Here is a 17,051-nt window from a genome sequence, read left to right on the forward strand (position 1 = left end):
TTAATAATGACCATTCTACTGGACAGCTATGTGGAGAGGTAGCAGCCGCTGATAGCTTCAGGTAGAAAACAGCCTATTGTTAAAGGTAGAGCTGCAACCTAAGGCTCTATTATATTTGGTAAGAGGGCACAATTTGGGGATTTTATTCTTGTATGTGAAAGAAAGATTTTTTTTTTGAGGAGGGTATATCCTCAATAACAATCTAATATGAGAACTTGAGCTTTTTACTCAAATAATTTTTCAAAGTTGATCTGCCATAATCATCTGAATATTTGGTAAGTCACTATGCTGAACACTGTGAGGAGTTAAGAAGTAGTTCTATAATTTAATGAAGATATAAAAACAAGTGAAATGTTAGACAAGAATTCCTATTCTATCAGTCTACGGCCACATCTGATTAGGACTTATGCTAATGGTACTAATTGATTAGTCTCCATAACACTTCTGCTATTACCTTCTGTTCCCACCTCCATGACTTTTTTCATCAAATATAATTCCCTTTCTTTATCTTGAGCCTCTCCTTCCCTTATCCTACAACATATTAATATTTTGACTTTATTTTATCCATCTAAATAAACTATTGACATATTTACATATCAGCATAAATATTTATAGCTAAGCTTTTTTTGAAATAGTTCACAATTTTTGCCTTATGCTTAAATTTTCCCTCGCTGTTTGTTTACCTCCAATCTGAATTCCGCTTCCACCTCTCCACTGGGTATGCTCCCAAGATCAGCAGTGATTTTCTGATTGTAGAAACTCATCATTTTTCAGACCTTCTACTATTTAATACTTCTATGACAATGTTGATCTTGAATTTCTCTCCTTAAACATAATCACTTCCTCTTACCTCCCTTATTTCCCTTTTCCTGGGCCCTGTTACACCAATAATCCATTAAATGTATGTTCCCCAAGATTTCATTCCTGGAATTAGTTTCTCCCTGCCCCTCGCCCTCGGCCACATTAACATGGATGACTGTCAATTCTATATCCCAGGCAGGCTTCACTTATTTCCCTAGTTCCAAACCTGTTTTCAACTGCTTGCTGGGTATATATACCTGAGTGACCTTCAAATTCAATATGCCCAATATTTCTCCAAATTTTTCCTAGTTCAGAACATCATTATCTTAATTCTATTACTCAACATGCAAAACTTCAGCTCCCGCTTGAATTTCTCACTCTTCTTTACATATAGCTTAGATTCAGTGGATCACCAAGTCCAGAACCTTACTAAAATATGAATTTAACTTTCCTGAAATTCAGGGAGGTAGATACTATTACAAATAAGAAAACTGAGTCACAAAAAAGCTCATAAACTTAAGTGGCAAAGTGAAAAAGCAGAATACAGAATGAGGATTACCAGCATCTGGAACAGGGAGTAGGTCGTGAGAACGGATGGGGAAGGGGGAGATATCAGAGTGCAAAAATTCAGTTAGACAGAAGGAATAAGGTCTAGTGATCTATTTCACAACATGATAACTATAGTTAATAATAATGTATTGCATTTTTCAAAATTGCCGGAAAAAAAAGTAGAGTCAGATTTTAAATGTTCTCACCACAAAGAAATAACAAAAGTATGGGGGTTGGAGGGGCAGTGAGCTGAACAAATGCAATCTGGCCCTGAAGCTGTGCTCTTCAACACTGCACCTATTATCTTTTATGAAAAATAAAATGCAGCTTACGTTCTTTATAGTGACAGTCTGAGCTTATCAAAATATAACATAAAACATTTATAAGTGTAAAAATAAAAGATATTCTACCGTATAAATATGGTTGAAGCCTAAGTAAATGTTGTTTAAAACTTTCTAGATGACCATGCAGGAAAAATATAAAAAGTCGTAAGAAGACCAAATAGCCAATCTGTCAAAAGAGAAAAGAAAAATACATTTTTGTGTTGCATCAATAAATGTTTAAAAACCATAAGAAAAATCAACCATTATATTATTACATTTTCTTTTGAGAAAACAATTTTAAACTCACTCAATATTATGTGGTTTTTAAATAACATTAAAACATTTATATCAAGATTGAAATGCTAGTTCAGCCAAAAAACTTTTATAAATCATCTCTACACTACATATAATGACCAACACTAAATGTTATTTTGTTCTATGCCCTTTAGAACAGTGTTTTTCAAATTTCAAGTCATGCCCCTTAAGTGAGTCATGAAATCAATTGAGAGGAGATTTTTAAATAAAATAAAAGAGAAGAAAAAATATATTTTACTGTACAATTCCTTGTTTCAGTATATAAATGAGTGTATATTATGTTATCCGAATTGCAATGCAAAAGGTATTTATTTCTAAGCATCTCTGTCAAAACAGTTTGAGAACCATTGCATTAGATAGTGTTGAGAACTATCCTACTTCTGCATAGCATGCTGTGCTAAGCTCCCTATTCCCTCATGAAAAAAGACCTCTCACAGGGTCATTATTAAATAAGCAATGCAAAATCTTACTTCTGTAAGATTAGTAAAAATATAGTTTGTTTTACACAGACTACATAAAATGGAATGTCTGAAAAAATATATAATCTGCAACATTTTACAGAAAATTATAAAAAACACATTAACTATAGAAATGGAATACAAGTTTCTAAATTGTGGAGAAGACCCAAATAACAGCAATAGCTGTCAGTATCCAGTGTGTGTGTGTGTGTGTGTGTGTGTGTGTGTGTGTGTATCTCAAAATCCTCTTAACAGCAATGCAGGGTATCATGTAATGATATACATGTAAAAATAAAATAAAATTAAAAAGATAAATCTAATGAAATCTCAGTGCATCATCCAAGACTATAAAGTAAATAAGTAACATTACTGGAATTTGAACCCAGGAATGTATGTATTGCTCCAAAAGCCATGAGCTTTCTACTATGGCAGTGATTTCCAAATATTTTTTATTACAAACCTCTATCATTACTAATAAATTTTGAGAATGCATCATTAATATTTATAAATGTATTCATAAAGTATAAACATACACCATTTGTAGACTTATGAAGTATGTAAAAATAACATGTTTATAAGGCAACAACTTTGTTGTAGTACTGTGTTTCTCTAAGAGACCGAAGTTAAATGTGAAAAAAATATTTAAAAGAATACTGAAATACTCTAGATGACAGAATTAAAGGAAACTACTCTCATAGATATAGACAATGAGTGAATAACTAATCAGAAGGAGGATAATTTAATATTTTTCAAGGACTAGAGATAAATACTGAAAAAAAATATAATATTCAAAAATGTAATAGGGGACAAAACAGAAAATACATGACAAGCATGTCAGCATGAATAACATTTGTATTTATATCTCAATTTGGTCATGGATTTCACCTGACCCAGAGACTATCTTTAGTTATAGCTATACTTGAAAAATGATTTTAAAAGCTTGCATCTTAATATTCTTGAAGGCCAAATTTTTATTGACAAATCTACCTTTCCATATTGTATACTGGACTTTCTATGTATTGTTCTTCATGTATTATTTGTGTACATATTCTCTTTGTTGTTTGACAACTCAAGCTTTGCCTCCTACATTTAATTTCTGCTTGTCAGTTTCTCTTTCTCAGCTCTCCCACATTTCCTTCATTCGACCTTTACCTCCTTCTTCTCTCTTTCTATTTCCATCTCTTCTTCTCTTTTTTTCTGATACTTTTATCTGGCTGTAAAATTGAAGGCTGGATAATATTTATCATGTGTTGTATTTTAATAGTTATATGTTTTTGGTTCTTGCATAGAATCTTGACGATCACTGCATATGTTTCTATCTAATACATATAAAACTGTTGCTGCTTATATGTTATTCTCTATACTTCAGTAAGCAGAAGTCAATCATTAAGAATATTGTACACTTAGAGCTAGATTGAAAGGAAAGAATGTAAACAAAATATAAAAGAAAATATATTCGGGGATCATATGTTTCTGGATCTATTCAACCCTGAGTTACTTCTCCAAAGGGGAAACAAAACTGCATATAGAGCGGGTGATGCATCTTTGATAATACCCTTTAATAAAGCATTCTGTCAAAAAGAAAAGAACAAAAGGGAGGTTTCCAATAGTCTTTCAGATATGTAATGAAAACCCTACAAAGGCAAGGAGGACAATTAAAATGGTTTCTTGCCTGGATTCAAAGTACTTATAGAGCATGCTTATTTCCAACAGATAGTTATATTAGCTAGAATAATAAAGAGCAAGCTTTAAAAATAGTACATCTTGGGATTCCAGTTGAAGACAGCTGACTAGAGACACTGCATACTCATTCTCTCCAGAAAGAAGAATCAAAATTATGAAGCAATAATCATGCCTCAGATGGAACAACTAGGAGAGAACACTGGAGTCCAACAGAGAAGTTATGGGAAATACCTGAGACACAGAAGGTGATATGGTTTGGCTCTGTGTTCCCACCCAAACCTCATCTCGAACTATAATCTCACATGTCGGGGGAGGGGCCCAGTGAGAGGTGACTGGATCACGGAGGTGGACTTCTCCCTTGCACTTCTTGTGATAGTGAATTCTGGTTGTATGTTGTGTGCGGCACTTCCCCTTTCACTCTCTCTCTCCTTCTCTAACATGTGAAGATATGCTTGCTTCTCCTTCACTTTCCACCATGATTATAAGCTCCCTGAGGCCTCCCAGTCATGCTTCCTGTTAAGCCTGTGGAACTGTGAGAATATTAAACCCCTTTTCTTCATAAATTACCCAGTCTCAGGTACTTCTTTATAACAGTGTGAGAATGAACTAATACAGAAGGGAAGCAAAATCGGCTGGGAACACATAGGGGCTTGCTATTGGGGGAAAGTGTGTAAGAACTTCAGTGGTCTATGTCCCTACCATGGACTGCGGCAATCTGAACCATGGCAGAGCTCGTCTACCCACATATTTCCTGACACTAACGTGGACAGTGAGCTAGAGACCCCTGAAGGACATTGCACCAGACACAGAACTTATGCTGGTTCACTCACACCCCTGAGACCTAAGCAACTACAGCAGTGTACCATGTGAGAGTACAGCCATCATGGGGCTGCATCCTCCCTTTAGAAAGATAGCCTGCATATCTCCATATCCCAGGAGCCCCAACTGACATTCCCCAGTGTCTACCCAGCAGCCTACAGTGGCACAGCATTGCTGGACACAAAGGTGCTACGGCGGCCCAGTACTGTGGCCCCCAAGTAGTATTACTTTCCAGAAAAGAGATGGTGCAGCGCATTAACATGGCAGTCCCTGGGACAAAGGAAACCAAGGCACACACTTTCCAGAGCCTGAGAGCTTCCTGTCTGAGGCTATGAGAAGAAACACTGCCTCAGCAGTAGCACAAATTCTGTGATCAGGCTTGCAAGCAGAGAGAGAGATCCCATTCACACCCCCGACCCAACACTGCAGCAGCAATTGCTGCCACTGGGAACCCAAATGAGAGCCAGCTATCTGGGGCTGAGGGCAGTGACCCCACTTCCACTGGTGGAGTGGCCTCTGTGTTCAGGCTCATGCATAGGGATTCTCTCTCCCCCTCTCCATACCTCTGCAGGCCCAGCCACTGCTGCTGCCACTGGAGGCTAGGGCAGGTGAACCAGATGGCACCTTGTCTGGGCCTGGATAGTGACCACACTCCCACTGGCAGAATGACTACCATGATCAAGCTCATGTGCAAAGGGCAGGGCTCCTTACCTTTATGTGTACCACTACAGTGCTGCTACAACTGAGAACAGGCAAGCTTGAGCTGCATGACTGGGGCTGTAGGTGAAGACTGCATTGTAGCCATCTCCAACATCAGCATGCACTGCTCAGGACCCAGAAGGTTGTCCCACAACTGCTACTGCCACTACCTACACCATGCCACCTACCCAGGGAACCAAGAACTCCCTCACCTGCCTGGTCCACCACTGTCACTATCAGGATCTAAGCAAACTACCTAGAGGCGCAAGAATTGGCCCGCCTGGTCCTGCTAATACCAGAGCAAGTATCTTGTATGCTGGGGTACAAGAACAGGCATACTCATCCCACTGTTGCCACCACTGGGGACCAAAGACTAACCCATCTGGAATCCCTGTCCTCAAGCAAAACTTCACCGTAGCCTCCACTCTTAACCACACTCTAAACCACTGGGAAATCATAGATACCACTGATGCTGTTTACAGCCAAAGAAATCATACAGGGACTGCACTATTGCATGTACTCAGAACCAAATACAAAGGGCTCTACTAACCAACACTATGATACATTTTCAGGAAAAAATCCTCCACTGTGAAAGCAAATTCAAAAAATTGGAATAAGTGAATATTACATGAGATACACAGTTTACACAGTTATCAACGTAAGGAAACATGAAAAAAAAACAGGGAAAGATGATACTTCCAAAGGAATACAATAATTCCCCAGCAATATATTCCAATCAAAAAGAAATGTGTGACATCACAGGGAAAAAAATCAAATTATGACACTAAAGAAACACAGTTAGATACAAGAGAATTTCAAAAAATAATACAAAAAGTCAGAAAAAAACAATTTAAGATATGAATGAGAAATTTATCAGAGATACGTATCATACAAAAGAACCAAACAAAATCTGGATTTGAAGAACTTCTTTAATTAAATAAAAAGTACAATCAAGTGTTTAAACAATAAACTAAAACAACAACACAAAAGAATCTCAGAACCTGAAGACATGTCTTTTGATATAACTTGGAGAAAAACAAAGAAAAAGTAATGAAAAAGAAAAAAAACAAAGTCTCTGTGATATGTGTGACATGATAAAGTGACCAAATACATGAATTATTGGTATCCCTAAAGGAGAAAAGTGAATGAAAGGGTTCAAAAACTTATTTAACAAAATTTAACTTGAAATCTTCACAAGTCTACCAAGAGATTTAGACATCCAGATCGAGAAGACCCCACAAACCCAAAATACTTTTCCATGGTACATTACAGTCAAACTGTCTAAAGTCAAAGATAAAGAAAAAATTCTAAAAGAAACAGAAAAATCATCTAGTCAGCCTTGAGCAGACTAAAAGTGGATTTCTCAGCAGAAACCTACAGGCCAAGAGAGAATGGAATGATATATTCAAATTGCTGCAAGAAAAAAAACTTGACACTTGAAAAACCCAAAGATACTATATCCAGCAAAATTATCCTTCATACATGAAGAAGAAATAAGGTCTTTTACAGACAAGCAAATGGTAAGAACATTCATTATCAATAGACTAGGCTTACAAAAAATGTTCAAGGGAGTTCTAAACCTGGAAGAGGAAAGATGATAGTTATTATCATGAAAACATACGAAAGTATAAAACTCATGGGTAAAGCAAAGACACAAAAGAGGAAAAGAAAAGACTCAAATGGTACCACAACAGAAAATTAGCAAACCACAGGGACAAACAACAAGAGGAAAAGAAGACAAGAATACACAAAACAACCATGATATGGTTTGGCTCTGTGTTCCTACCCAAATCTCATCTCAAATTGTAATCTCTATGTGTCAAGGAAGGGCCACGTGTTGAGGGAGGGAGGTGACTGAATCATGGGGGTGGTTTCCCCATGCTCTTCTGGTGATAATGAGTGAGTTCTCATGACATCTGATGGTATTATAAGTCTTTGGAAGTTCACCCTTTGCTCTCTCTTTCCTGCTGCCTTGTAAAGAAGGCCCTTGCTTCTTCTTCACCTTTTGCCATGATTGTTAAGTTTCCTGAGGCCTCCCAGCCACGCAGAACTGTGAGTCAATTAAACCTCTTTTCTTTATAAATTTCCCAGTCTCAGGTGTTTCTTTATAGCAGTGTGAAAATGGACTAATACAAACCAGAAAACAATTAACAATATGACAGGAACAAAACTTCACATATCAATAATAATGTAAATGTAAACAGAATAAATTCTTCACTTAAAAGATATAGACTGGTTTAATACATTTTTTACAAACATAATCTAATTGTATGCTGCCTATAAGAAATGCACCTTACCTGTAAAGACACAGACTGAGAGTAAAGAGATGGAAAAACATACTCCACACAAATTGAAATCAAAAGCAAGTAGGAGTAACTATCCTTCTATTGGATAAAACAGACTTTAAGTCAAAAAAGGTTTTAAAAAAAGGCAAGAACATTAAATAATGACAAAGGAATCAATCCAGGAAGAGGATATTATAATTCTAAATATATATGCACCCAACAGGGAGCACCCAGATTCACAAAACAAATACTACTAGATCTAAATAGAAATATAGACTCCAATACATTAATAGTGGAGAACTTCAACACTCGTCCCTTAGCATAAGACATATTATTTAGATAGAATATCAACAAAGAGACATTGTATTTAACTTGGACTTTAGACCAAATGGACATTAAAGATATTCACAGAATATTTTTCCCAACACAACAATAGGATGCACATTCTTCTCATTAGCACATGGAATATTCTCCAGGTTAGATCATATGCTAGGCAAAAAATAAGTCTCAACAAATTTTTAAAATCAAAATCACACCAAGTATCTTCTCAGACTATAATGAAACACAACTGGAAATCAATACCAAGAGGAACTTTGAAAACTATAAAAATACATGGAAATTAAACAACATGTTTCTGAACAACCACTGGGTCAATGAAGAGGTTAAAATGGAAATTAAAAAAAAAAGTTTTGAAACAAATGAAAATGAAAGCACAATATACTGAAACCTGAGAGACAGAGCAAAAGCAGTGTTAAGAAGGGTGTTTATAGCAATAAATTCCTGCATCAAAAAAACAGAAAGATTTCAAATAATCTAATGATGCACTTCAAGGAACTAGTAAAGCAAGGACAAACCAAACTCAAAATTAGTAGAAGATGACAAATAATAAAGATCAAAGAAGAAATAAATGAAATTGAGACTAAAAAAGCAACACAAAAGATGAACAAAATGAAAAAGTTTTTTTAAAGATAAAATTGATCAACTGCTAGCTAAACTAACCAAGGAAAGAAGAGATAAGGCCACTCAAACATAATCAAAAGTGAAAAAGTAGATATTACAATTAATACCACAGAAGTACAAAAGATCATCAGAGACTATTGTAAACAACTATACACTAACAAACTGGAAACTGGAGGAAACGGATAAATTCCTGAAAACATACAACCTACCAAGATTGACTCAGGAAGAAATACAGAACCTGACAATACCAATGAGTAGCAAGATTGAATCATTAACAAAAAGATTCCCCCAAAAAAGAAAAGTCCAGTACTAGATGGGTTCACTGCTGAATTCTACCAAATAGATAATGAAAAACTAATACCAACCCTCCTCAAACTATTCCCAAAAGTAAAAGGCGAGGGAACTCTCCCTAACACATTTCCCAAGGCCAGCGTTACCCTAATACCAAAACCAGAAAAGGTGCAACAAAGAAAGAAAACTACAGGCTAATATCCCTAATGCACATAGACTCCAAAAACCTCAACAAAATACTAGCAAACTGAATCCAACAGCACATCAAAAAGATAATACAACACGATCAAATTGGATTTATACCAGGGAATCAAGAATGATTCAACATATGCAAATCAATAAACATGATAAATCACAACAGAATGAAGAACAAAAACCGTATGATCATCTCAGATGCAGAAAAAGCATTTGAAAAAATTCAGCATCCCTTCATGATAAAAAGTCTCCAGACTAGGCATAGAAGGAACATGCCTCAAAATAATAAAGACCATATACCACAATTAAATATTATTTCACTCCAGTTAGAATGGCTATTATTAAAAAGACAAAAAAAAATACACATGATGGCGAGGATACAGAGAAAAGAGAATGCATATGCTATTGGTGGAAGTGTAAATTAGTACAGCCACTATGGAAAACAGTGTTTAGGTTTCTAAGAAACTAAAAATAGAACTACCATATTATCCAGCAATTCCACTAGTGGGAATTTATCTTTTAGGAAGATAAAGAAAATCAGTGTATTATAGGAATACCTGCACTCTCGTGTTTACTGAAGCACTCTTCACAATAGTAAAGATATGGAATTAACGTAAGTATCCATTAATGGGTGATTAGATAAAGAAAATGTGGTGTATATACACAATGCAATACAATTTGGCAATAAAATAATGAAATGTCATTTGCAGTAATATGGATGGAACTGGGAGTCACTATGTTAAATGAAATAAGCTAGGCACAGAAATACAAAAACCACATGTTCTCACTCACGTGTGGAAGCTAAAAGACTTGCTCTCATGGACAAAGAGAACAGAATAATATTATAGATATCAGAGACTAAAAAGGGTGGGTAAATGGGAGGGGAAAATAAAGAGAAGTTGGTTAATGGGTACAAATATAGCATTAGATAGAATGTTTGATACTAGAGTAGGGTGACTATACTTACCAACAATGCTTTGTATATTTCAAAGTAACTAGAAGAGAGGATTTGAAATGATGCAAACACATAGAAATAATAAATACTCAAAGCGATGGATACCCTAAATATCCTGACTTGTTCATTACACATGCTAGTCATGTAACAAACACTAACATGTACTTCATAAATATTTAAAATGTTATTTATATATCAATAGAAGAAAAAATAAGGTAAAAATTAGTAAATCTGAGAACCAAGGTAGATGTGTAGCATCATAGCTGAGAGTTCACTGGACTCTGTAGCCACATTGAATATCAAAACTCTCTCTGCTTAGACTTTGGGCAAGTCACTTAAAACTCTCTATGCCACAGTGAGATGTAGAATATGTGAAATCATGAATAATCCTCTTAGGATAGTTGTGAGAATAAAATAAGTTAATGTGTCTAATATATTTAAAGCACTTATCATTGTGTAAGGCACATAGTTAAGTAAGGTTTAAGTGTTTGCAGCTGCTATCAGAACTGGTACAAATTATCTGGCTTTGCAGATAACAGGGCATGTGCAAAGTATAAGCAATATGCTCCATGCATAAAACTATATTTTGTAGCTATTTTTTTCTTGCTAGCAGAAATACAAAAGGCAAGAAATGGAGAAAGGTCACTGAAGGAGATGAGAAAGAAAGGAGATAAAAGCCAGACTTGCTCCATGTTTTTCTATTCCATTTTAAAAATTTTATCACATTTATTTTTTCATTATAAATATGTATATTTACATTTTATTTTTATATATTTTATTTTTACTTATATATATTGTTTTCATTATAAATATAAATACATATTTTAGTGGACAGTTTTGGAAATACAGAAAAAGAAAAAAAATCATCATAAGCTCACCATCCCAAAACAGTTATTGGTAATATCTTGACTATTTTCTTCAATCCTCCATCTACGCAAAGCTCAGTTTTTTGCACGGTTAATTTCTATTATGTATTCTCTGTATCTACTTTTGCTTGGTCTCCACAAGTCTTTTACTACCAAATGTGTCAGAGAGCATCTAAGCTTGATTTACAATGACTGAAATGTGGTTGTCTCCCCAAAATGTTCAACTGATGGACTGATTCATCAATGTTCTCTCATGCTCGATTTCTAACAGTTTATAATCAAAATTTAATTTAAAAAACCATTTCTGCATAATCAATTTAATTTGTTTCATTCATATATATATGAACATATATGTGTATATATATATATAAAAAACCATCTTAAAAAATACTTTTAGCCTTTCTTTTCTTTCTTTGCAGTAAAACCATTAGTTAAACTACATTTGTTTGACTAATAATATATTTTACAGCAGTCAACCATGATCATCACTGAGAGTGAAACAATATGATCTCAAGGACATTATAAAATATGAGTTACCTGAAAAGAGTTTTTCATTTTTATAGATCTAAAGTGACATAGAATATTAGAAGAACAACTAAGTTTCCCAAATTGGGCAGCTATTTAAGGTTATTTGTCAGCATTTTTAAATGGCAAAGGAGGTGGCATTTAAAAGTCCTTAAAATAGAAAAGAAAAACTCTATATATACTTAGAGAAACAGTTAAGTAGAAGTATATTGTTTTTTTAATGAAATGTTATTTTCTTATATAGTTTGTGACATTATATTTTCTCAAACTATCTCCATTTAGATATTAAGCAATAATAACGTACTACTCACAATTAGAGAAGATTAAACTACCAAACAAAAGAATATTCTATAATAAAACTAAATGTTCTGTTTTGATCCTAAAACAGATGTCATGTTGTTACATGTAGTATGTGAAATATTTAAAAACATTAAGAAGTTTTTCAAAACATACCTTTGCTAGCTTTATTTCAACTGAATATAAATATGTTTTGAGGGATGCATCACAACACAGTCTGTATAAAACCGATTCCGCAACAAAAAATAAGGCAGGCAGATGATCATAATCAAAGGAAGCATGGTCCAGAGATGCATAAAGCATATTTAAAGATTCTGAAATATTAAAAATATAGAAACTGCATCATTTGAAAATCATCCTGTTTTTCCACATGCTATAATTACTTTTTGTAATTATTTCCTGTCATTAAGACCAAATTGCAGTTTTAAAATATATTTACAAATTCTCTTTGACACCTTTCTCATCAAGAGGTGATGTCTATATGCTCTTCTCCTTAAACTTGAGCAGGCCCTGTGACAGTTTCAACCAATAGAATGTGGCAGAAATGACACTATGTGACTTCTAAGACTGAATCAGAAAAGGCACCAATGCTTCCACCTGGATCTCTCTCTCTCTCAAGATACTAGCTTTGGAACCCTAAGCTGCCATGTAGGAAGTTCAACTCCATGGCATGAAGCAACTGAAACAGAAGTCACCAAGGTCGAGAGGCTAGAGGAAGGAAGAAATGTCCAAGGGGGCTCAGCTATTATAGATCCAACACTATACAGGCTAAATAAATCACCAGGCCACACACATCGTGGTGGAGAAATAGGACAGAACCAGATGATAAAAGGCAGTGCGAAAGATAAAAAGGGAATAGCAGAAGACTAGAGAATCAAGGTAGAGGAAACAGGGCCAACCGGTGAAGCTGAAGGAAGAAGAATATAGAGCTAAGAGCCTAGAGAAAACAGCTTCTCAAATCATTACAAAAGTTTTGAGGAGCTTCCATGTAAATATATGAGGACGAACAGCAAATACAGGGACTTGAGGAAAGAAGAACCCTGACATGCTCAAGGGACAGGAAGGAGGTCAGTAGGGCTGAACATAATGAGTAAGTAGGGAGGTAGCCAGGAGCCAGCACATGCAGAGCCTTGTAGGCCATGATATGGAGTTACACTCATTTGAGTGTAATCAGAAGCTGTTGAGTGGAGGGTGGATTACAGAATGAGGAGCAGACAAAAGTACAGGTAAAACACTCATTCAGTTATTTTAGTTGTGAAGAGAGTAAGAAGTCATATTGAGAGTATTACTTAGAATTAAATATGTGAATGCATTAAAATCCTTCTGCTGTATGTAACAGAAAATGCAACAAAAATGTCTTGAAAATAAGGAGGTTTATTTCACAAGATTAGAATTGGAAAGGTTCCAGGGACAGCTAAGATAGCTGCCCTCTATATGCACATTTCTTTCATCTTCTAGTTCCCTCTCATGTGCATGAGGACTGTGATGACTACACAAGCTCAGGCATCATGTTCTTACCAAGCAAACTAGACAGGAACAAGGAAGAGTATAGGCAGGAAAGGCATGTCTTTTTCAAAAGCAAGTCAACAAAAAGTACAGGAAATGTAGCTGTCTTTACATCACTGTGCTCAGGACCAGGTCATGTGACTACCCCTAATCAAATCACTAGCAAGTGAAAAGGAATTACCATAATTGATTTAGACCAGCAGTCCCCAACCTTTTTGGCACCAGGGACTGGTTTTGTCTCACAAGGAGCACCGCAGCCTAGATGCCTCACATGTGCAGTTCACCATAGGCTTCACACACCTATGAGGACCCAATGTCACTGCTGATCCGACAGGAGGTGGAGCTCAGGCAGTAATGCTCGCTCCCTGGCTGCTCACAGCCTGTTGTGCGGCCCAATTCCTAACAGACCACAGACTGGTACCAGTTCATGGTCCGGGGTTTTGAGACCCCTGATTTAGACCATCCATGATTCACCCCCCTCGGGTTGGGCAAGGGCCAGTCCTCTTCTAAATCACATGACTGATTAAAACTGAAATGTAATTGTCAATGAAGAGCAAACAGCCTCTTCTTGCTGGTAAACCAAGAGTGTTTACCTCAATATCATTTAAATTCTTAATAGAGGTCAGGCTGTGGATGGCACTGTGATGAAGGACCATAAAGGCAAGTTAAATACAAAATAATTCTTACTCTTCCTGTTGCTTGAAAATTCCCAGATAGCACTACAAAACCTAATTTACATGGGGGAAATTCTCTCTGAGCTCATGTGGTTAACATTCTAAAACTACTTTAAAAGGCATATATATACAATTAAATGATAGTGATGGAAAGAATTTTACCCCCTTAGAAATAACGTTGTTTAATTTTTTTTTTAGATTAGTTAGAGGATGTTTTAAAGGAGGCATAAATGAGGAGTGATAAATGAAAAGGTAATGAGTAAAGCTTGCTATTTAAAATAAGTGGAAAACAAATGGTCATTTGATTAATGTTTTATAAGTAATAATTATAAAATGAAGAAGCAAATTTCTCTAAAGTCTAGTGCCTATTGTAACTGGAAATCACTAAATGACATTTTATATTAGTTTTTAATTAGTTGCTAATTTTGGCAAAAAAGTAATAAAGACTATGCTGAGTAAAGTTTTTAAAATAGTTTTATCACTAAAAAGCTTAGTTAAAATCATAAATTCAAAATTACAAAATGAATTTTCATAATAAAATGTATTTTGATAGAGTAGAAAAATTTCTTGTCTTCTGCACAATTTTTAAAAATTAAAGTTCTCAAATTATGCCTTCACTGATGATATAGAAAATACTTAGGATGCCTAATAAGAATTTAAAGTACGTACCATCTTGGATTTCCCCTTTGCATTGAGCCAGATATATTACTTCAGTCCATGCAGCAGGAAGATGCACATGCCTTCCAGAGCCCAGGGTTTTGAGACCCAATTTTCTCTGTTATGAGGAAGCATGAAAAAGACAAATCAAAATGTACATATTTTTATATATATATTTATTTTTAACTCTTAATTGTGCTCCAAAAGTCATTCTATGAAGCTAATGCTTGGTGGCCAGAGTTGTATACAATTTTATATTTTTGCTTTTATTACTCAAATTTTTGGAGATTTTATGCAAACTGTATTAGTGTTAAGATGTAAAAAAGTTGATATTACAAGTAATATCATTAGCTATTTGCTGAAAATAATTCTCATTTTTTACTTTCTAGTGAGTACTTCCAATTTTCCCCCAAGGGAATGCATTTTTTTTATTGTATAAGGAAAAACATTGAAGAAATGTGATAAAACAGAAGTGAGTTTGATGCCAGTTTGCTGGAAAACCCTGGCTACTTCATTGTTGATATACGGAAGTTAATGAACTTGAGGGAGATGATCAGGATTGTTCCACTTCCCTTATTGTGCCCACTCCTGGGACTGTTGCAGGGAACACTTGCACAATTGGAGAAAAGTTCACTGATGAATGCACCTCCTGGCACCTGTCTGCATACACACTTATCAAAAGTATACTCTTTTTCTAATCAAATTTTTTTCAAAATTTTCAAATATATGGGCAGCCATGAACTGGAAAATAACACCACTACAACACCACAAAAAAGGTGGCTTAATTTATGCACCAGTTTTGTGCAGCTTTTATTTAATGAATTATTCATATCAAAGCAAAATATGTATGTTATTTCTCTGTAAAACTTAAACTGAATCCAATGTAAAAAAGGCAAAGCAAGGACTTACTTTACTTCCTGTTCTGTTTTGATATCTATTTGTAAATTTGGGGATTAATGTCATATTCTTAACGAATGTATTTTTCACAAGTTAGGTGAAGAATAGTTTGTTACAGAGAAAGAACAGAGTACTTTGTGCATGTATATAAAGGTTTAGAAAGGCCTTTTTCTCCTTTGAGACACAGCATATCTCAATTAACTTTTTTTAAAAAAATATAATTTTCATAATCAAAAATTTATTTGCCAGACTTAACGTTTTGCTATGGGCTGCTGGACTGGTATATTTCCACAAAAATTTACAGGGAGCTTTTATTATTTGGTTATAAGCTTTAATTTTAATTTGCATTAATATTTTAACTATCCCTACTTATAATTAAAGAAAGATATATTCTTATTTTTTCTTAAAATATTTTAGAATGTGTAATCATGTACCAACTAGAAAGGAAGTTAACATGCTCAACAATCAAATGATATGCCATTACCTTACATCTGAGAATGATTTTTCTAGCTAGTTCCAACAATTCTTCCTTCTCTTTGGAATTTTGTGTTTGATTGAATCTCAAGATGAATTCTTTTGTGATTGAAAATGTTGGCCTAAATAAAACATTGAAAAATTAACATTTAAAAAGTATAGCTATCACTTCCAAATTTCAATTAATCAACTTCCAGTGGCTATGTATAACTATATTCTAGCAAAAATACTTTCTTAATAAAACTGTTTCACACAAAAAAAATCAGTAAAAGATACATGCAAGCCTCCTGGACTGATCCTGTCATACTCTTAGATTGAGAAACATAATTCCCATTGTCAAAGACCTTTGCGGCCCCTGAGAAAAAGTTTCTGAGATGACTGCTAGAAGTCTTGTTGGTATAAGCCTTCTTTAGATAAAATCCAGCACGGCTTCAATTATGTTGAAGGCTGATTTATCTCCTCACATAAATCAGCATTGATTCATTTAAGCTAAACTTTTACTCCTTCTGTGCAAGTGGAATCAGCCCAAACATGGTTGGATTTGAGGGAGCAAGGGAAGAAAGAAGTATAAGTATGAAGTAAGGTCAAAGAGGTAGCAAGTAGCCATATTAACTACATGAGATGGGAGGCTACTGCAGGGTTTGAGAAGAGGCGTGGCATGATTTAACTTGAGCTTTAAGCAAATTTCTCCAATGCTATACTGAGAATTAGCGTGTAGGGAGGTGGGATGTAGCAAAAGGGGGAGCTTACATGTAGTTAGGTGGGACGTAATAGTGGCTTGGATCAGGATTACAGAATATAAATAAGGAGAAGAGTTTGGAT

General features: G+C 35.0%; 1 protein-coding gene across 23 annotated transcripts in view; it reads right to left on the minus strand.

The window, feature by feature from the left end:
- TMEM232 (transmembrane protein 232) overlaps positions 1–17,051 on the minus strand; it is a 351,524-nt gene that overhangs the window by 238,590 nt on the left and 95,883 nt on the right. For 21 of the 23 annotated variants that reach the window (XR_001742182.2, XR_001742181.2, XR_007058620.1 and 18 more), the window contains 4 exons: positions 16,240–16,351; positions 14,871–14,976; positions 12,178–12,335; positions 1,761–1,860 (listed from right to left, as the gene is read on the minus strand). Coding sequence is in view for 20 of the 23 variants with exons in the window: in XM_011543565.4 (XP_011541867.1) it covers positions 1,761–1,860; positions 12,178–12,335; positions 14,871–14,976; positions 16,240–16,351 (476 nt within the window). In the remaining 3 variants the exon portion in view is untranslated. The remainder of the gene's footprint in view (positions 1–1,760; positions 1,861–12,177; positions 12,336–14,870; positions 14,977–16,239; positions 16,352–17,051) is intronic. The other 2 variants (XM_011543560.3, XM_047417495.1) reach the window with 2 other exon arrangements.

The sequence above is a fragment of the Homo sapiens genome, chromosome 5 (assembly GCF_000001405.40).
Source record: "Homo sapiens chromosome 5, GRCh38.p14 Primary Assembly".
Lineage (NCBI taxonomy): Eukaryota > Metazoa > Chordata > Mammalia > Primates > Hominidae > Homo > Homo sapiens.